This window comes from Homo sapiens, chromosome 9, assembly GCF_000001405.40.
Source record: "Homo sapiens chromosome 9, GRCh38.p14 Primary Assembly".
In the NCBI taxonomy this organism is placed as follows: domain Eukaryota; kingdom Metazoa; phylum Chordata; class Mammalia; order Primates; family Hominidae; genus Homo; species Homo sapiens.
The window spans coordinates 39,190,677-39,213,684 of NC_000009.12; the positions used below are offsets into that span (position 1 = coordinate 39,190,677).

The 23,008-nt window shown below is 39.6% G+C and overlaps 1 protein-coding gene and 1 pseudogene across 2 annotated transcripts in view; one reads left to right on the top strand and one right to left on the bottom strand.

Annotated features, from left to right (window-relative positions):
- Positions 1–23,008, bottom strand: part of CNTNAP3 (contactin associated protein family member 3) — a 223,458-nt gene that overhangs the window by 125,967 nt on the left and 74,483 nt on the right. For both annotated transcript variants that reach the window (NM_001393379.1, NM_033655.5), the window contains exon 4: positions 2,452–2,599. In NM_001393379.1, the coding sequence (NP_001380308.1) occupies positions 2,452–2,599 (148 nt within the window). The remainder of the gene's footprint in view (positions 1–2,451; positions 2,600–23,008) is intronic.
- RN7SL640P (RNA, 7SL, cytoplasmic 640, pseudogene) lies at positions 424–684 on the top strand (annotated as a pseudogene).

Sequence of the window (23,008 nt, forward strand, 5' to 3'; positions counted from 1 at the left end):
TTGGAACTCCTCAGAGTAGGTTGCGGATACGTATTTGGAAGTTATCAGCCACAGTGTGTAAATGCTACTGAAAACTCATGGAAGTGGATAAAAGGCTCAGAGAGAGCTTGGGAGCAGGATAAAAGACCTAGAACCAATCTGTGGATAATGCTAGCCTTTAAGGAGTGGCAAGAAGAGTAGCATGCAAAGGTGCATGGAAAACCAGGAGAATACAGCTGTCAAGAAGGGCCCGAGGCCATCTGTGCTCATGGCTTTATTCTGCAGTTGAGCAGCAACTCTGGGAGAACCTACAACCTATCCCCAGGCTAGAAGTGGAAATAGAAATAAATAGAGTAAGCCAGGAGTCTGTGAAAACACACACAGTTTAAAGGAATAATGAATCTATTACTGTAAATGAAGTGTAGAAAAGCTAGTAACACTAGGGCTGGGCAGTCCCAGCTACTCAGGAGGCTGAGGTAGAGGATCGATGGAGCCCAGGGGTGCACTATGATGATCAGGTGTCTGAACAAATTTTAGCATCAAATGGTGATCTCTCCGAGCGGAGGACCATCAGGTTGCTTAAGGAAGAGTGAACTAGCCCTGCTCCCAAATGAAGCAGGTCAAGACTCCCGTGCTGATCAGCAGTGGGATTGTGCCTGTAGCCACTGCACTCCAGCCTGGGCAACATAATGAGAACTTGCCTCTTAAAATAAAAAAAGATAAATTGATAAATACATAAATAAATAAATGGGAAGAGATGCTGCGTGGCAGGGATATTATAAGTCATTATAAGCAACGTTCTAGAAAACAAGCAGGGCAGTGGAAATACAAAGGAAAATACTGAAACTACCATTATTAACATAAGTCATAAAGGATTGTATTACTGTCAACAACAAAAATAAAATCACCATACTTGAACAATTATTCTTCTAAGGAAAAAAAGACAATGTAGATGTCCACTTGTTCTAAAGAATTACTTTTAGCTAGTTAGCAGTGGTCACATATTATCTGTCTGCATGTTTGGGTTTTTTTACTAGTAGTCCCTTACAGCCAACAGCATGTGTTTACAGAAGTTAACGGTGCCAGCAGATTGCATGGCAGCTGCACCGCTCACCGGCCCTTCCTGGAATCAGGCACGGGGCTTTGATCTTCCTGGTACCAACCTCCAGCCCAAGGAACTGGAGTAATATCTCTTCATGAAGGAACATCAAGCTAATGGCAAATCGCCATCAAAGAGCATGTTCCACTTTGAAGTCAGTAAACCTGAAGTTGTTTCAGAGTAATGAGAGGAGAAGGTAACTTCACAGCATCAAAGAGAGATTCCAAATATCAGACATCTTAGCCATTGAAACAGAGAGCACAGTTATAGGTCCCAGAAAACACAGGGATGGAAGGAGATGAACAATAACAGGAAGAAAAAAGACTGTTGGTAAAGCAACATCATTATATTTAGCCCTGTAGAAATGTAAACACTAAAAAACAAGCAGAGTTAGGAAATGAACTGGGTTGTACAGGAGTTAAGTAATAAAATGGAAATAATAGTATCTGAGATATTAAATGCTGTATGAATGACAGACGTTGTTATCATGCTTTAGAAAATTAATATTCTGCAGGGCTAAAGCTGTGAGTAGGCAGAGAATGGGAGTGACTGTGTGTAAATAGTGTGATATGAACATCCGGCCGGACCCAAATTGAAGCTGCTTAAGACATTTCCATCCAGGCTGCTCTTTGACCTGTTCTCCAGTTTTATACAGGAGTATTTTTCAATTTTATTCCATTTTGACAATAATTTAAAACATTTTTATGATAATGTAAAGAAAGAATACAAGTATGTTCTAGATCATCAAGTGGCAACTGTGTCACTGAGTACCACCAAATAATTTCACGGCCGGCTTTTTGTTTGTGTTATATTCATGTCGGCCCCATCCTTTCCACTTTTATAACAAAGAATAGGTGAGAAAAGAGGCTGACTAAACACAGGTTCCCACCAAGTGAAGATCAAGTGAAGCGACAGCACAGTGTGCAAAAGAGGACGTTAGCAGAGAAAAACACAGAGAACCAAGAGATTGCGAGAAATCACACCCTGCCCCCAGTACCGCTCCTGTTTTCCCAGACAGCGTATCATCTCAGCTTCAAAAAAACAGCATCATCTGTTGTTAGTTTGAATTGTATTCGTTTCATCAGATGCCTACCATATTGCAAGTACTTTGCTAAACTCTGGGAATCTAAAGACAGGTAAGTTTCAGTTCAGGTCCACCACTAAATTCAACTATAAAAGACAGTAACTAAAGTCCATATTGTCATGGGGAGACACTAGAGTGTTTCCATAAAAACCAGTTCTGCTTGCCCAGCTATATAAAAAGACAGAAAAAGTCAAGTTCAACATTTCATGCCGACATTGGCTTTTACAGTTTGGCTTTGACAGAATCTCATGCTGACCTTGATTTCACACAGGGAATAAAGGCCACTTACTATATGCACATCCGTACACTTCGATCCGCATCCCAATCCTGCCCCTAGGGTTCCAGGCTAAAGGGAGAAAGCGCAGGAACCTGGCTTCAAAGGGAGGCTGGAGTCTGTAGTGCACCACACTGTCTGCGTTTGTGTTTCCTGGAAAACCCTAGGAGAAAACAGAGAAAGGGATCAATGTATCTGCAGGACACACCATCTTCATGTCGTCACCTCTCATGGCAATGAGCAATGTATGCTCGCTTTGCTAATATGCAAAAAGCTGCTGTTTTAAAGGAAACACTGCTAATGGTTAACAAGGATGTGACAACCTCTCCAGTCCCTGAATTCGTCACCATTGTCTAAGTTTTCTTTATTTACAAGGTAGTTTAAATTTCATCCACATCATTAAAATGACTATAAACATGGCAACCTCTATGAAGTTCACTTTTCTAAAATGCTATCCCACAGATTCCTCCCTAATCAAGTGGTAAAGATGCTCACAAAAAGCCACATCACATGGCAGGGCAATCAAGCACCACGGTAACAGGCAAAGGATCTGCAGTGAGAATCCTGGAATCTGCAATTAGAGAGTTGGAAGGGACCTAGACATGATTCCAGCCCCACACCCTTAATTTATAAATGAAAAACTACAGTCTAGGAAGAAGAAAGGACACTCTGGAGGTAGGACAGCTATCATAGAGTGTGGGCAGGATTACATCTGGCTTTGATTTCAATGGCATCATTGATTCCATGTTATCAGGCTGAATCCACTTCACAGTGAACACAGCTCCATGCACCTGTGGCCTGTTTCCTGGGGGTGTCAAGAGGAGCACACTGCCACTATCTGCTCCAAGGCAAAGGGGCTTTCACTCTTCACTCCATCTTGCTATCTGAACATTGGGAAGGATCAGAGTGCAAAGCAAACAAAGTTGTTTTAGATATTTTTTTCATTGTTCTCAGATTTTTAAGAATATGGCATGTGTGAGAACAAGGAAAGGGTTAATGCTATTTTGCACTAGAAGTGCTATCACCTAACATGACTGGGGCACATAGTTAATATCTATGTATGGAACAGGCCAGCAGTTAGTTCAACCAAGAATGAAGAATGTTTCCTGCCTAATTATTTTGCTTTACTAAAGAATGTACCAGGCTTAGGGCCAGCGCGTTGGCTCACGCCTGTAATCCCAGCACTTTGGGAGGCCAAGTTGGACAGATCACGAGGTCAGGAGATCGAGATCATCCTGGCTAACACGGTGAAACCCCGTCTCTACTAAAAATACAAAAAAATTAGCCGGGCATGGTGGTGGGCCCCTGTAGTCCCAGCTACTCAGGAGGCTGAGGCAGGAGAATGGTGTAAACCCGGGAGGTGGAGCTTGCAGTGAGCCAAGATCGTGCCACTGCACTCCAGCCTGGGCGACAGAGGTAGACTCCATCACAAAAAAAAAAAAAAAAAAAAAAGAATGTACCAGGCTTAACAACAAAACAAAGAGAATAAAGATCAGCCTGCCTCATACCCAACCACCAATGGGTGTCCCTGGGTATAAACACATGGAAATAAAAATATAGGAAATGCCTTAGTGAATGTGGTCAATTTTAAATGCTAGTGTTGATGCTCAGACTTGGTAACAGTTCGTCTATTGTTAATTCGTGCCAATTCCAAGATAATCATTTCACCTTTTTTTTTTTTTTTTTTTTTTTTTTTCTGAGACAGGGTCTCACTTTGTCTTCCAGGCCGGAATGCAGTGGTGCGATCTAGACTCACTACAACCTCTGCCTCCCAGATTTAAGCAATTCTCCTGCCTCAGCCTGCCCAGTAGCTGGCATTCCAGAAGCATGCCACCACACCTGGCTAATTTTTGTATTTTTAGTAGAGACGGGGTTTTGCCATGTTGGCCAGGCTGGTTTCGAACTCCCAGCCTCAAGTAATTTGCCCACCTGGGCCTCCCAAAATGCTAGGATTACAGTCATTAAGCCACCATGCCCAGCCAGAGATAATCATTTCACTCTTGTTCCAACTAAAGGGTCATGTACATCGACATTTTTTGAGTTAACAATCGCTATACCAACTTCAGGTAAATATTTGCACAACCTCTGCACTCACAACCTTCTGTCTGGACAGCCCAGGCTGACCTATATAAAAGAAGCCATATCCCAGCTCCACCACCTCAAACCCTGCTACTCTCTGCTGCAAGCTGCAGTTTCTCCATCTGTGAAACTGATCTTGAAGGGCCAGAGTACTAATTGAGATAACACCTGGAAATCAATCAGCCCACCACCTGCGTGGAGGTGGCTGCTGTGATTGTGACCCAGGTTGGTCATTGTTGGCATGGTTGGTAGAGATGGTTGATCCATCCTTTTATTTTGGTTCTAATTTGGGTTTAATATCTAAGACATACAGCCAAGCTAATACAAGAACATCAGATCCTATGAGCATTTTGACTCCAATGTTAAAATTCAGTTGCAGAATTAAAATCATATTTTTCTGTAGCTGAATAAACTTTGTAAACCTCAGCAAAAACAATACAATAAAAACCTTTCAAAGGAACCCTACCAAAACAGAATTTTTTCACCTTTATCTGCCAAATGTTACTTCTTTCTCAATTTGTTTCAAAGTGTAAACTCTGGAAAATATACTTCTGAGTGATGTGATAATAGGATCATGTAGCAAAATAAAACTTAATGTCAATTTTTGCTTAATTAAATAGATTAACATTTAAGAAACTTTAAATAGACATTACCTAATAGTTTGTGAATAAGGCAGATGAGAAACATACTCTTTGCAACTTCAGAGATATCAATAAAAAATCAAACATTTATTACATATGACTAAAATATATTTAAAAGTTTATATATATAATCACATTAATTCATTTGAAATTTCAGAAATCACATTATTGTCTTATATAGAATTATAACCAGCTTCATGGGATACCAACCAAATGAACCATTGTTCTTTAAAGATATAGAAATTAAAGAGAATACATTTTGGGCAGGAAAGATTTATACTAGCATTTCACTGTCATAACATTCAGGGCTTATTATTGAAATAACCTTATCTATAACAGTAAAATAATGTGTGTCTTAAAAATATGCAGTGTAGTTTCTTATTTATTATATTCAAAGTTTGCTTCGAGAGCTTGCAGAGCAGACATGAGTTCATACGTGAGCACATGACCACTACGGACAGAAAGAATGGCGAACACAAAGACCTATTCCTGCTTTGTTTTATTAAGGTGGAAAAACGAACCTTCTAGAAGGATAAGCCAGCTTTTATAGAAATATGCAGCCTTCAACAATTCTGCAGAGGCTTACGTCTTCATTTTAGACATAAATAGCAAAAGTTACAGCTCTGTGGAGAGTGAGGGTATACAGAATAGTTTTCGGAAGCCATAGTCCTTCAAATTCTTTTCTGTCTTAGCAGGCATGTGACCTTGGGAGAAATCATCATCTTTCTTTGTAAAGTAGAAAAATTGTATCTATCTGGCAATCTTGGTAAGAATTAAACTAGTTAATATATATAATGTATTTGTAAGATTATAAATCATTTATTTTTTACAGCATTCCTCTGCAATTTGTGTGTGTGGTGTGTTCATGTATAAAAGCTCCATCTTATTGAAAGACAGTCACTTAAGTTTGATGTGGATTCTCTGTCTTTGAGGGCATTCTAGCTAAGTATTATATTAAGTAATCAAAAATGAGTATTTTCAGATAAAATGATCAGTTTCCATAACATGTTCCTTAGGTATACATGAAAGTGAGTGAAATCTGCGGCTTGGAGTCCACTCACATGCTGGAAATATGTTTCATAAATAATTTAGGAATTAATGACATTACTGAAAAATTTCCAACACTCTACTTTGATTTTTAGCGGTCACATTAGTTAAATCTAACAGTCACAGTCAGTGATGGTGCTCATGTGATATCCTGGTCTGCAAAATGTTAAGCGCATGGATAGTTGTGGTTGAGTATGAAATACCCAGATTGACAGCCATAAGCAGAAAAAAATCTGTCAAGGTAAGACTCATCAACAACTATTTTTAAGAAGACTGTTAGAAATTTGTTATTTTTCCAAATTTGTCATTTTGTCATTTCTGTTTTAGTGGGTTTTTATCATCAAATCTTTATTTTAAATTACGAGATACTGAAATGAGTCTCTGAATTTTAAAATAAACATTAAATCTCTACTATGCATAGGGCCACCACTGTCCTATGCAATTTCACACATCAATTCAGTTAGTCCTCACAAAGATGTTAGAAAAGCCTGTCTAAAAGAAACAGATTCTTCAGCAGCTTCAGTTTATTATTAGTTTCCCAAACACTTAAATGTACTACGAGAGATTCTTATTTTAATATGCTGTTATTATTTTAAGCTGTCTGTGTGTGGGGTAAGAAAGTGCCCGTGAGTCCCTGAGTTCTAATTCTGTTTCCTTAATTGCCAGACTATGCTGATATTGGATACAAATTTTAGTGCTTGTAATCTCAGCTTCTTTATGAGTAACATGGGAATAATACTAACTGCTCTGCCCAATTATAGCTTGTTGGAAGATGTTTCTGTAGGTGACTTCAAAATTCTAAGGAACTATACAAATGAAAGATATTGCTAAGCTGCTCCCTGTAATGCCTGTTAACAAGATTATTTGATTAAGACACTTTGTTAATTATAAGTGTTATATGAAGAAATTGTATTAATTCTAAGTATATAGCATTAATAATATAATTACCATGACATATACCTTGATGATTTTATGAAGCAATTAAAATGTTTCTATAGATTATTAAAAATTAGCATATTATCTTTATCACCTTAGTATGACTAGTACAATTATATTTATGCAGAGTTAATCAGTAAAAAGCAAAATGAAAGATATAAAACAATATTATATGTAAGTGTAAATATGTGTGAACAAAAGAATTATGATTTTTAAAAGAGTATGTACAAATAAAATGTATTGGACTGGGGAAATATGAATCATGTACAAAAAAATATGATTAATGAATGAATGAACACCAAGGCAAGAGTAGGGTCTTATGCAGACCAGACCGATCATTCCTTCATGATTACTCACTAAGGAAGGTGACTCATGGAAACCTTGGCATCTGATGTCTAAACATAGTAAATAAACAAAAAAGGGCTCCAGCATGTGGACCCAGTGCCTGCTGAAGAGCTGTTAACCCTCTGCTGCTGCCCCCTCAACCTCCTCTGTTCTCAGGATGCTCATGGGTGAAGAAGGGACTCCTGGCAAGTGGGACCTGGGGCTGCCACAGAGCCCTCCCAAGGACATAGACAGGACTGTGAGGCCACGGCTCCAGCAGGATGCTGGCTCCTGCAACTGTCAAAGACTTCAGCTCAGTTTTGGAGTTTCCTGTAAGTGATATATCATATGATGAACACAGGCTGCGAAGCTGGAGAGACCTGGGTCTGAGGCCAAGTCCCAACATATACTGGTTCTGTGACTGTGGGCAAGACACTCAACCACGCAGAGCCTTCTCCTCTGAACACTGGGGAGAATGATGATCCGGACTCACAAGACTCTCACGTATCTCTAAAGCTCTTAACATAGGACTAGCATACGGTAAATAATCAATTAGTAGGAAACACTGCTTATTATTATCTGTTAATACTAAGTGATATTTCCTCTTACTCATTCTCACAATGCTACTCTTTGAAAGCAAGGATGAATCTATGGACCTTTTCCTTTGATTCTCAGCCGGAATCAACTTAATCACTTAGGTCTGCATCCCCTCACTAGCAGATGACATTAGGCAAGGATGATACTGCTTTTGTCCCTGTTATTTTCAGAAGATTACAGATAATGGTGTAACATGCAAAACTGTTTCTTATTTAAATTAGTATCGATAACTGCCTATGTGAACAGTTGTACTTAATTATTTTAAAGTGCTCATGAATGCATTATTTTTTACTAACCATTAGAATACAATGTTTATCAACACAAAATGAGAAAAGTGTGACTTTGCCTTATTCTAGCATTATTAAATGAACTGAAGTAGGAATTAAGAAATGTGGGTGATGGTTCCAGCTTTTTCATTAATTAGCTGTGAGAGCCATGGTATGTCACCTGAGGCTTCAGTTTAGCTGGAAAGCATGCTACAAAGTACTATGGGGCCAGGCACGGTGGCTCATGCCTGTAATCTCAGCACTTTGGGAGGCTGAGGCAGGTGGATCACCTGAGGTCAGGAATTTGAGACCAGCCTGACCAATATGGTGAAACCCCATCTCTATTTCAAAAAAAAAAAAAACCAAAAATTAGCCTAGCATGGTGGTGTGCCCCTGTAGTCCTGGCTACTCAGGAGGCTGAGGCAGGAGAATCACTTGAACCTGGGAGGTGGAGGTTGCAGTGAGCCGAGATTGCACCACTGCACTCCAGCCTTGGTGACAGAGTGAGACTCTATCTCAAAAAAAAAAAAAAAAGTAGTATGGAATCTAAAGTTTTCTCTAGCACTAAAAGAGCATGGCCTGAAATAGTTAGTTTATATTCGGGTCAAGAAAGAAAGAAATGTTAGAAAATAAATGAATAATCAATGACAGCAAGAGTACCTTATTGGAAAAAATGTATGTATATATGCACTTATGCATATCTTTAATTAATTAAATATACATAATCATTGAAAAATGAAACACTGCAAATACATTTGTATGTTTGATACTTGAGCATCCTATCATTTTTTTAAATAAAAATGAATTAATTTACCATATTTGAATAAGTCAAAAAGAGAAAAACAAAGTGTAGTGCATGTTTAAAAAAGACAAATAAATGTTTGTGTTTGCTCACTACTGATAACTTTGAGGAAATGATCATTCAGAAACATAAAGCAATCCAAAATACGAATCAAGATTAACGTAAATGTAATTTTTAAAATAATTCAGATAATGAAGAGAGCAGAACTAGCCACTTAGCTCTCTGTATATAGTGCATATAACTAAATATATCACAACTTAACAGGCGTTCTTTCTGAGATATTGCTATTGACTTTAAATGATCACGTTAGTTAAATGTTAAAATACCTTTTTAGAAAGCAGGCAATTCATCTAACTTGTCATTTGACTTGGATCTGGGACAAATTTCCTGTGTGAGATTGATCAGCATGTCTTCTTGCTCTCAGATTTCCTTATTATAATTATAAATCTTTGTGCCTTATAAAAGTTCAGGGTATTATGCTGGTGCCATCTCTGGTTTCTCAGAGACTTTCAACAACCAGCCTCGTTCTGGGACATGATAGGCATTGCTGCAAAATCAGGAATTCTTCAAGGAGAATAAATGTCTGCTGTGTTGAATTTTATGCTAGGTTCCCCAAGATCTGCACCTTTAACCCTCCCAGTATTTACCAGTGTTTAACACACAGTTGGTCCCAGGCAAATGCTGGTGCACTGACTTGATTGTTAGAGATAATCTTCCTAATGCTATATTCTATCCAGTCTCTCTAAACCCAGCTCCTTGTTCTGCTGTGAGGAGCAGCACCTGTCTTCCTTTGCCTGGGTGACTCAGAGATGCCCACTCCATCTTCATCTCTGGACTCACCACAAGTAATTACTTAGTACTTCCCACCAACTGCAGAGCAATTTACTTAATTGGAATGTTTTCACACTTTTTCATCCCTGATAATCAACCTGCACAGATGAAAAAATTAGCTAGGGAATCACTATTATTAAATCAGTGATCTAAGTGCTTTTGTTATTCTAACTGAAAATTGTAATCATTTGTTTGTTTGACATATTTACTATCTGACCATCAGACAGATTCACTTATTTTGTCCATTTTAACTATGACCAAATATATATTTTTTCACATAAGAATCTGTGAGCATTAAACTGGGTGATCCATATTACCTTATCCCTGAATATTAGATATTGGATATGCACATACAAATGGTTATGATTGTTATGATTAGTGTGCTATCATGGAAAATAGTTCATAGTCTTGATAGTCTGAGAATTGCTATGATAATAGTTTCAAAAACATTTAGGATACTTGTTCCCTATTTTTAATTTTAGTTTTTAGCAACAAAAATCATTTGAAAAGCAAACAAAATTATTTCACCATATTTTTACACTTGTAATCATGTATAATACGTTCTAAGAAAAAGCCATCTCTACCTATAAAATACTGCATAAGATGCAATTGTATATTCCTGTGTGTCTCTCACACAGATCCATCAATGAACAATATTGCCAGCATTGGGAATAAGAATACTGAATGAATCAGGCCTAGGTTGAGTATTTTCTGTGACTATGAGGCAGTCACATCCTCCTATTTGGTTAGGATCTACAGAGTAACTAGACTCAAAAGGTGCCACCTGCCTAGAATAATATTAGTATGAGATAATAAGACTTGCTCATAGCTTATCCGGCAGTGTGCTAGAAATTTTCTGTCTATGAATTTGTAAAACAGCAGCAACAACATGAGGCACATGGAAGTTCAATGTCCTATGGTCAAAGCTGAGCTCTGGAAACCGCCTTCGCACAAATTCTAACAGTGAAATTGAAACCGCCTTTGCACAAATTCTAACAGTGACAAAATTATGGCAATGGGGAGACCTGATCTAGTTAACCCCATTCTTGCCCTTGACCTTCAAGTTGCCCTTAATCATTCCTGAGCTTGGGCAAGCCAACCGTGAGAGACATCTAGTTTATAGTTTAAATGATAATAGCCCTTCCCCAAAACTAAAGCTAATGAGAGACCACCAGGCTAGGAGAATAGAGGAGCCTAAATTCTGCTAAGATACAGACATAAATGATTGCTAGCCATTTGTTCAGAGGTCACGAGATATGCAACTTCCTCATGAATTCCAGCAGATAACATCAGTATTGTAGAATCTAAGATTAGCCTTTTGAGATATCCAGGTTTTTTGCATGTTTGACTACCCATGGCTCCACTGGACCTGCCAACAGCTCCCGTAGCTCCACCCATAAGTAACTCAGCATGCAGAAGAATCATTTCCCACACCCCTATGATTACACCCCCAACCAATCAGCGGCAAGCACCCATTTCCTAGCCACTCCCAGCCCTTCCCCTAAACTACCTTTGAAAAATCCCTAATCTATGAGCCTTCGATGAGACTGACTTGAACAATAACTTCATCTCTAATGTGGTGTGGCCGACCTTGAGTTAATTTAAACTCTTTACAGCAAATACCATGTTTTTTGTTTTGTTTTGTTTTGTTTGCAGATGACATGATTGTATATTTAGAAAACCCCATTGTCTCAGCCCAAAATCTCCTTAAGCTGATAAACAACTTCAGCAAAGTCTCAGGATACAAAATCAATGTACAAAAATCACAAGCATTCTTATACACCAATAACAGACAAACAGAGAGCCAAATCATGAGTGAACTCCCATTCACAATTGCTTCAAAGAGTATAAAATACCTAGGAATCCAACTTACAAGGGATGTGAAGGACCTCTTCAAGGAGAACTACAAACCACTGCTCAACCAAATAAAAGAGGACACAAACAAATGGAAGAACATTCCATGCTCATGGATAAGAAGAATCAATATCGTGAAAATGGCCATACTGCCCAAGGTAATTTATAGATTCAATGGCATCCCCATCCAGCTACCAATGACTTTCTTCACAGAATTGGAAAAAACTACTTTAAAGTTCATCTGGAACCAAAAAAGAGCCCTCATTGATAAGACAATACTAAGCCAAAAGAACAAAGCTGGAGGCATCACGCTACCTGACTTCAAACTATACTACAAGGCTACAGTAACCAAAACAGCATGGTACTGGTACCAAAACAGAGATATAGACCAATGGAACAGAACAGAGCCCTCAGAAATAATGCCACATATCTACAACCATCTGATCTTTGACATACCTGACAAAAACAAGAAATGGGGAAAGGATTCCCTATTTAATAAATGGTGCTGGGAAAACTGGCTAGCCATATGTAGAAAGCTGAAACTGGATCCCTTCCTTACATCTTATATAAAAATTAATGCAAGATAGATTAAAGACTTAAATGTTAGACCTAAAACCATAAAAACCTTAGAAGAAAACCTAGGCAATACCACTCAGGACATAGGCGTGGGCAAGAACTTCATGTCTAAAACACCAAAAGCAATGGCAACTAAAGCCAAAATTGACAAATGGGATCTAATTAAACTAAAGAGCTTCTGCATAGTAAAAGAAACTACCATCAGAGTGAACAGGCAACCTACAGAATGGGAGAAAATTTTTGCAATCTACCCATCTGACAAAGGGCTAATATCCAGAATCTACAAAGAATTTAAACAAATTTACAAGAAAGAATCAAACAACCCCATCAGAAAGTGGGCAAAGGATATGAACAGACACTTCTCAAAAGAAGACATTTATGCAGCCAACAGACACATGAAAAAATGCCCATCATCACTGGCCATCAGAGAAATGCAAATCAAAACCACAATGAGATAACATCTCACGCCAGTTAGAATGGTGATCATTAAAAAGTCAGGAAACAACAGGTGCTGGAGAGGATGTGGAGAAATAGGACCACTTTTACACTGTTGGTGGGACTGTAAACTAGTTCAACCATTGTGGAAGACAGTGTGGCGATTCCTCAAGGATCTAGAACCAGAAATACCATTTGACCCAGTCATCCCATTACTGGGTATATACCCAGAGGATTATAAATCATGCTTCTATAAAGACACATGCACGTGTGTTTATTGCGACACTATTCGCAATAGCAAAGACTTGGAACCAACCCAAATGTCCATCAATGACAGAATGGATTAAGAAAATGTGGCACATATACACCATGGAATACAATGCAGCCATAAAAAATGATGAGTTCATGTCCTTTGTAGGGACATGGATGAAGCTGGAAACCATCATTCTGGGCAAACTATCGCAAGGACAGAAAACCAACCACCACATGTTCTCACTCATAGGTGGGAACTGAACAATGAGAACACTTGGACACAGGATGGGGAACATCACACACTGGGGCCTGTCGTGGGGTGGTGGGAGGAGGGATAGGATTAGGAGATATACCTGATGTAAATGAGGAGTTAATGGGTGCAGCACACCAACATGGCACATGTATACATATGTAACAAACCTGCACGTTGTACACATGTACCCTAGAACTTAAAGTATATAAAAAAAAAAGATCTGCATAGTTTTGGATGGTATATATTTAACATGATCTTCCTGTTCTAGATAGATAAACCTCTAGATATTAGAGAGTTGTCAATTTTCACTCTTATAAACAATGCTGCAACCCTGTAAATATGAGTAAGATTTACGCTTACTTATCTCTATTTCAGAATAACTTTCTAGGGATATAGTACACTCAGCAGCCCTCCATATCCATGGGTTCTGCACTCATGAATCCAACTGTGATTAAGAATAGTAGGGAAAAAATGGATGGCTGTGACTTTGTTGAACATGCACAACCATTTTTTTCTTGCCATTATTCTTTAAACAATATAGTATAACGACTATTTTTACAGCATTTGCATCGTATTATTAGTAATCTGGAGATGATTTAAGTATACAGGAGGCTGTACAAAGGTTACATACAAAACTACACCATTTTATATAAGGGACTTGGGCATCCATGAATGTTGGTATCTTTGGGGGTGGGGGGCTCCTGGAATGAATCTCCCGCAGATATCCAGGGATGACTGTATTTCTAGTCCACAAGGTTGCTCATCATTGAGTAACTTCTTTTTACCTGCACATGGAGGTGTATTTTAAGTGTCCATTCAAATCAGTGATTGATGAGAATACACAGTGTATTTTTCCTCTAGGCCACAGAAACTAATTTCTGAAATGAAATTTTTTTAACTAATTGACTTTTTGCTAGTTTTTGAATAGCCCAAAGAAAATGGGATTATATTCTCAAATTCAAATCATCATCATCATCATCATCATCATCATCATCATCATAGCTTATGTTTTTGAGCACTTCCCACATACTTCCTTAAGCCCTTTGCTCAGAGATGGTCAGTATTTCATTGTCATAATAACCATAATCACCTTCACCCAAATTTGTCTGAAATGCACAACTGATTCCCAAGTTTATATAGAAATATTGATATTTTCTTTTTTTCTTTTTTTTTTTTTTTTGAGACAGTCTCGCTCTTTGCCCAGGTTGGAGTGCAGTGGTGGGATCTCAGCTCACTGCAACCTCCGCCTCCTGGGTTCAAGAGATTCTCCTGCCTTAGCCTCTCGAGTAGCTGGGATTATAGATGCCTGCCACCACGCCCAGCTAATTTTTGTATTTTTAGTAGAGACTGGGTTTCACCATGTTGGCCAGGCTGGTCTGGAACTACTAAGTTCAGATGATCCACCTGCCTTGGCCTCCCAAAGTGCTGCGATTACAGGCATGAGCCACTGCACCTGACCCTGATTTTCATTACTTTTCTTTCAGATTAGTTTATAGATTTTTAGATTTGAGGCTTAGAAGAAAATTCCTTAGTTTAGTATAGTAGAACTATTTTCCTGTATTTTATTTAAAGCTTAATAATACAAATTTTAGAAGTGCAAATATATTTTATTATATTCTTTATCTCTTTATCTTTTTTATTTGTAAGATAAAAGTAAAGATTTATCTCACAAATAAATGTTTATAAAAAATGAGATAGCAAAAGCAATTATTTTAGCCTGCCTAGGAGATTTAAAAATTGGTTCCACAGATCTGTAAGAATAAACACAAACAATTTTCTATAGACAAATTTTAAAGTATAATTTGAAGTACATCAGAAATACAGTCGTCTCCCCTTATCTGCAGTTTTGCTCGCTTTCCATAGTTTCAATTACCCATGGTTAATCACAGCCTGAAAATATTAAATAGAAAATTTCAGAAATAAGCAGTTCATAAGTTTTAAATTGCTCACTATCCTGAGTAATGTGATGAAAACGCATGTCACCCTGCTCTGTCCTGCATGGGACGTGAATCATCCCTTTGTCCAGCATATCCATGCCCTATAAGCTACCCACCTATTAGTCACTTAAGTAGCCCTCTGGGTTATCAGGTGGGTTGTCATGGTATCACAGTGCTTGTGTTCAAATCACTCTTATTTCAATCAACAACGGCTCCAAAGTGCACAAGTAGTGATGCTGGCATATTGCTACAATTTTCTATTTTATTAGTGGTTCTTGTTGTTAATCTCTGTGCCTCATTTATAAAAGCAACTTCATCACAGGTGTGTATGTATAAGAAAAAAACATAGTACATATAGGGTTCAGCACTGTTTGCAGTTTCTGGCATCCACCAGGGATTTGGGGACTACTGCAGTCACTTTCTCCCAAAGTATCACCTCCATTTCTCACATCTGAGTTGTCACCATCAAAATACTCATTGTTTTGGGCCTACAAGCCTTTTAAAGTTCATTATTAAAGTTTAAATAGCCTTTTATGGGGATTCTTATCAGTTAGTGCCTTTTTCATTCATTTGTCCAGGATGTTTATTAAACCAGAACACCGGCACTCCCTGGACTAGGAAACAAGGAGCGCGCAGGCTGGGGCCCAGAGACTTTACACGACTCCTGAGGACAACCGACTCAGACGGGGTCCGAAGAAATTCAGATCGGTGAACGGGTGAACCACACAGAGAACTAGAAAAGGCTACGTCGGCCCACTTCACCATTTTGCCCTGAGATGGTTCTGTGGACTTAACAAGAAAAGGAAAAGGATAAAGCCTGTGCCAGAAGAAGTGGTTCAGGAGGTAAGGGTTTCTAAGATTGTGTATGGCTTTACAATGTATAGCTCCCTCCTCCAAGTACATTTCAGAGACAAATCCTGAGCAATAAAAAACCTTGAGCAAGCTGAAAGCAATAAAAATGTACTGGAGTGTGATAAAAAGGACATTTTGCCAATTTATAATTACACTCGTAACATATAAGCTGTTTCATACTTTACAAGTTGCGCTTGCTAGGAGTCAGGTCTGTGGGTGTATGTAATCTTTCCTCTCTATACTTCTGCATAAGCCTATTTTTCTTCAAAATTTTATAGCTGTTTGTGTAGTGACTCCAAATAAAAACAGTGAAAATACACTGATTATTTTTCAACTCTAAATACCCATTTTAAGTATAGCTGAAGAATGAAAGGATATAATCCTCCTATTGGTCCCTTGTTGCTAAGAAGCATTTCCGTTGCAGATTTTGAGTATTACATTCATTGAAAAAGTCTTATGCATATTTTATGGCATAATTATTTTTATTGTGGTAAGAAACTTAACATGAAATCTATCATCTTAAACAATACAGTACCATTAACTATAGGCACAGTTTTGTACAGCAGATCGCTAGAACTTGTTTAACTGAAATTTATGCCGAAAGAGATAGCAAGTGTTGGCAAGGATGTGAAAAAAAGGAACCCCTTTTGCACCATTGGTGGGAATGTAAATGGTGCAGCTGCAATGGAAAACATTATGGCAAATCCTCAAAAGATTAAAAATAGAACTATCATATGATCCAGCAATCTTACTTTCGGGTATATACACCCCCCCAATATAAAATGAAGATGTTAAAGAAATATTGGCTCTCCTATGTTCACTGCAGCATTATCCACAACAGCCAAGATGTGGAAATAACCCAAATGTCCACTGATGAGTGGAATGGATAAACAAAATATGGTATAATTTTTAAAATCACAAACTGAGTTGGTCTAATGTCTTAAATTGGCATGTCATTTTCAGCTTGACATTCACACCTTGAAGATTCAGTTAAACACAGAATAGCAATCTGCATCTTTAATATCATCTCGGTGGGGCTCAGACTTTCCTGTCACTGAACTTTCTGTAGGTCCTCAGTGCTGTGAGGAGCTTAGAGGCCCAATAGCAACCTGTCCTCTGGGATTCCGTCTTCCAAGTTGGAGCAACTGGGAGAACAACAGGGGCCACTGGAACTGTCCAACAGAGTCCTGCAGCTGCAGGACAGCCATGGGGTAGATGGAGGACAGTCAGAATTCTCTGCTGCTTTCATTTCCCACAGAGCTGTTGTCCCCGTCTTCCTCCCCACAGTCAGTGCTGTGGGCTCACTTTGCAAACCACACAAGGACCGGCCTGTGAGAAACTTCCAGTAGAAAATGCTGCCACCCTGAGAAACCAGGACTTTCCAGAATCTTTCTGTCCACATGTCACCTACTTATAAACTGAGGGAGGCAGTGCTGGATTCTGTGGTGAGGCAGGGTTGGGGGGAAGGGTTTTTAACTTGGAAGATCTAAATAAACCAGAGTTCAAGACCTGTCACAATTCCAAGTATGATGTAAATCACTCATCCCCCTTGAATTTCCCATCTTCCTTTTGCAAAATAGAGGTAATGGTGATTACTCCTAGGATCTTATCTGAGGGAAGATGTATAGATATCAGTAAACATAATGCACTGTGGAAAATTCAAATGATTTCCACTTCAAGTACACTTTGGGATGAAGCAAGGTTGAAAGAAAATAAGGAAGACAAGGTTTTGTTTTTGTTTCTTGGGTCTTGCTCTAATAAATTCACAAAGGAGTTTGAAAGGTGATAGCGGCTGGGTGTTTCATAGCCAACAGGCCTACACATACCACAGAAACCACACAGCAAAATGTAAATTTTAAAATATGTTCCCTTCTTTTTAACTTTCAGCAAGCTTAACAGATTTCAAAATTACACTAAAACTCTCCCAGAGTTAAATGTTGTTTTTCCACTCTGGAAAAGGGAAATTAGATTGAAAAATAGAATATTAAAAAATAGGTAATAATGGAAGAAAATGCATTGGGTGGGGGCCTCTAACTACATACACTTTGGAAAAGGAAGATGTTTTCCTACTCTGTCTTTCTCGAAGAGTTGCGTCTGGTCCTACTCAAGTCTGCAGAGGGTCAGTTTCCTGTTCACTTGCTCACAGCAGCTTGCAGTCCTTCTCAGTCCCAACTTCTAATTTTATTCATTTTCACCCCAATGTAGAATTTGTTTCTCACAGTACTCATCAACGTAAGCCACGGTTCAGTCTTCCTGATATTTTATTGTGCAATGTATATTAAATACTGTATTACATTTTAAAATACGAGTTATGAGATGTTAGTCACATTCATTAATCTGCATGTGAAAGTACAACTAAAATGTGGGCACGGTGAGTCCCTGGGGCCGCAGTTCTCAGGGTTTATCGAGCACATGATTTCTTTCAAGGTGAATGTGATTTAACTTAAAAAATTTTGCTGTTTTTATAAAGGACAATCAGACTTCTCTGTATTATTTGGCATCGCTGCAGGGTTCAGACTTTGAATGAAGGCAGAAAATTAGCCTTCAGCATACAAAGTAAAGTGTCAATAATAAGAAGTAAGTGGTCACTAAAGCTAAAATCAGGAGGAAAAAAGCAGAAAGCAAAACCAAAGCAAATTCAATCCCAAAGCAAGTTTAAATGGGAAAATAAATTAAAAATTAAATTTTAAAATGACATAGCAAATTATAAATAGAAAGAAATGAGTCTAGTCGAGTTCTGCAGCCTCCAGCCTGGAGAAGGGTGGGGTGAGATGAAAACATTCAGACTTCCTTCCTTCCCTTCCTTCCCTCCCTCCCTCCCTCCCTCCCCCACTCCCCTCTCCCACTCCTCCCTTCTCCCTCCCCCTTCCCCCCTCCCCCCTTCTGCCCCTTCCTCCCTTCCTTCCTTCCTTCCTTCCTTCTGGTGTGAACTGCACCAGCACCCTGCCCCTCGCCCCTCTCACCTGCATCTCCTTTTCATCCTTTCTCCCTCTCTCAGTTGGTTCTCTGTTTGTGATAGTGTTTTAGGACCAACCACTTGGGTTCAGATTTCTTCAGAGGACAAAATGCCAGAGGGACTAGAAAGGAGGAGGGGGTTCCTATGACTCAGAGGGAAAAGAACTTGGGCCTGGAACTAAGTCTCCTGCCCCTTCTGCATGAAAGTGCCCTGGAGTCCTCAGCTGAGCAAATCCATATTCCTTTAAAAGGCAGGAAATGCATTTTGCCCAGCACTAAACTCGTCCTCACTGATAAATTCCAAACCTGAGGGGGAACAGCTGTGCCTGATCATCGCCCTCACTCCCACCAGGGAGACAGAATCCATAGAATCCACAGCGTGCCAAACAGTTTGGGATTAATGTTTCTGTGTGGAACCCTGAAGAGAGACACGTTCTGGGCTGGGATGGCAGCAAAACCACATCACTCCAGAATTCCAATCAGAGACCCGAGAGCAGCCATTCCCCCAGGCCTCTCATCCCTGTCATCCCCGGACATGTCCTCAAATCGTATGCCGTTGATCCTCAGGTCAATCTGTCCTTTTCCGGGCTCTCTACACTCCCATCCGCCCATGCACTCCCCACTACTCTTCTTCCTTCCCCACAGTTTTTTTTCTGTGCACTCTTTGACCCTCATAAAGAAGGGAAGGGAAAAGGAGGGGAGGGGAAGGGAAGGGAGGGAAGGGAAAAAGAAAGAAGAGAGGGAAGGGGGATGAGGTTGAGGGGAGGAAAGAAGGAAGAAAAAAGACTACTTTAATCTTATCTGAGAATATTCTGGTGTAGCCTAGAAATTGAGACTGGCTCCCCAGGTGGGCAGCCCAAGGTTTCTGGTACAGGCTCTGCTTGTGTGACATGAGCTCATTACTGAGCCTCTCTAAAGTTGTATTTCTTCATCCCAAGTTAATGATGAAAAAGTAAATAATAGAATGCAGCTAAAATTCTAAAAATCTCACCTGGTACACAATAAATACTCAGTTATATTGGGTGTCAGACACTGATCTACACCTTGATTAAAACTCAGGTCTTTCTTTTGGACACCCCTGCCCTTGTAACACTCAGGAATGCAGTTTCCTCATTTCCCCTCATCTTATTTGTGGTGGGGTCTGGACACATTTTCACCGATCTCCTTTGATTTCATAACATTGCACTTCCTCACAAAAGTAACTGAACACACACAACGAGAAAGTTATCTCTTCTCTTAAATGCCATTTGACTATAGCTCCCTCTACCCTTCCTGGCCATTGTAATTCATTTTCTAAACTCTGAGTCATTCCCTTACACTTATCACCATCTTCTCTATCCCAAAGCCACAATATGAACATCCTTGAGGAATACCAATAAGATCCTTTGACTTCAAGTTCCCTGATGCAAATGAGCTCCAGCTGCTTCACTTCAGCCTCATTCCCACGGCCAACCTCATCACCACCTGGGATGGGGGCACCATCTTTGAAATCTTATTTAAACTCTGTGTTGACTGTACACCTCTAGATAGTCCCAGATCTCTCACTCCCACACTATAGCTTCTTTGACATGCTGACTCTTTCTGATTTTCGTTATCAGCCTCTCTTGATCTAACTGTCCTCTCCACATTGCCCAAACAGCATGGTACCTTTTTTTCCAGACTCTTTTGCCAATTTGTTAGCATTTATGTAGCCAAATCCTCAATGTCAGCATGTCAGCATACCTGCAGATGCTAATTCTAGGTCAGTCTTCTCAGTTGCCTTCTCAGGTTCTGCAAACAGCTGACTATTGCTGGGGAAAACCCCCCAGCTGTGCGGGTGGGGTCCCTATTCATGGTCTCCATCCTGGGGTCTGTATGCTACGAGGACAATGGTCCTTAGCCTTGAATGAATATGGGAATCATCAGGTGGATTCTTTAACATACTGCTTAGTTCCTACTCTCTTGAGGTTTGGATTTAAGTGGTCTGGGCAGTGGTCTGGGCAGGTGTTTCCAGTGTAGAAATGTACTATTACTAGGGACTCTTGTTGTTCCCTGTCAAAATCTTTTTCCATTCCACATCCTCTACTACACACACATAAACATTTCCTACCTTAATTCCACTTTTCCCTTATCATTTTTTTGTTTGTTTGTTTGTTTTTGAGACAGGCTCTTGCTTTGTCACCCAGGCTGGAGTGCACTGGCTCGATCACAGCTCATTGCAGCCTCGATCTTCCAGACTCAAGCAATCTTCCTTAGTTTTCCGAGTAGTTGGGACTACAGGCACACACCACTACAACTAGGTAATTTTTGTATTTTTTTGTAGAGACAGGGGTCTCACTGTGTTGCCCAGGCTGGTCTCAGACTCCTGCACTCAAGGGATCTGCCTGCCTCAGCCTACCAAAGTGTTGGGATTACAGGTATGAGCCACAGCACCGGATCCTTCATCACTCATATCACAGAGCTTGAATCTTCTGAACATCAAGTAGATAAGAACAGCCATAAACTCCCTTTCAGAAATTTAAAATAAAGCATATATAATTAGCTATTTTCCTCCTGTTTCAGAAAACATCATTGTTTTTCAGTGTCTTCTGTGTTCTGGATCCTTTTCCCTGCCATCCCTCTGGGACGTTGCCCCTCAGCTACTCTGTGAGTTTCTTCTGTCTCCAAGCTGTTGATGGGCATGGGAGTTCCACCAGCATCCCTGGCAGTGACCAGGCTCTAGTCGCTCTAGCTTCCACTTCACACTGTCCCCTGCCCGTGTATGTCCCTCTTGCTACTGCTGTCCCACTCTCTTTTTCTAAGCATCCCGACTTCTACAGAAAGTATTCATCATTTGCTCTCTCCTTTTCATTAACTCATTTCCTCTCCTCAGTCTTCTGCAATCAGGCATCTACTCTTATCCATTCATCAATTTACTGATGAACTCAGATCTATCACTAATTTATACAGATTATTTTGTTTTCATTTTCACAATAATCCTATAACGTATGTTCTATAATAACACCTATTATATAGATGAAGAAACAAGGTACAAAGTGGTTAATCAGCTAATCCAAGTTCATACAGCTAGCAAACAGTGAACCCAGTATTTGAACCCAACTGATTTGACTCAAACTCTGCATTCTTACCTACGTCCTGCTTTGTCTTCCAATTCACCTGACATTTGCTTGCTCTGATGACAAAACTCTGCCCTACCTGATTTGACATTCCTAGCATTCAAGTCAGTCTTGGGTTAAATAGCTGAAGTGGGACTATTATTTCCAGACTCCACTGTTAAAATGCACAAAGAAGCCAGAACAGAGGGAGTGTGCTGATGGTTTTCACTAATTATTTTCCTCTACCACATTAGCTTGGGTACCAGATCCAGCCACGTTTTTGGTGCCACAACCCAAGGAGCTGGAGGGTAAGGATCCACAGAGGGGAAGGGATAGAGGAGATGAGAGGAAGGAGAGGAAAGGAGAGGAGAGAAGAGAAGAGAAGAGAAGAGAAGAGAAGAGAGAAAGGGTGAGGATGACCAGCTCAGTACCCAGTGTTCTGCAGCTCTGGAAGGTAGGCCTGCCTTGATCTAAGATGTGATCCTACAGGACCTCTGGCAACCAGAAGCTCCAAACAATGCCCAAAGCAGGTAACATGAAAAAAGATTTGGGAAGGATAAGAAATGCATATTCCTGAACCTGAACTCAGAGGTAGCTACAGCTTACTCTGCCCGGTCACAGCACACAAATGCAGTTTCCTTTCAGAAATAATTTTCGCAAAAGATTTTGTGTCATAGCTTAAGGAATTTAGCTCAGATGAAGAAAAAAAATCTTAGTATTAAGATTCTAAATAGAACAATAAAAGAAACCCATAGTACAAATTAATGAGATGTGATAGGGCTAATTTCTCTGTTTAGAGATGTTTTAACTGTGACTTGACAATACTGACATGCAAGCTCTTCAGGAGAACCTAGTTTTCAT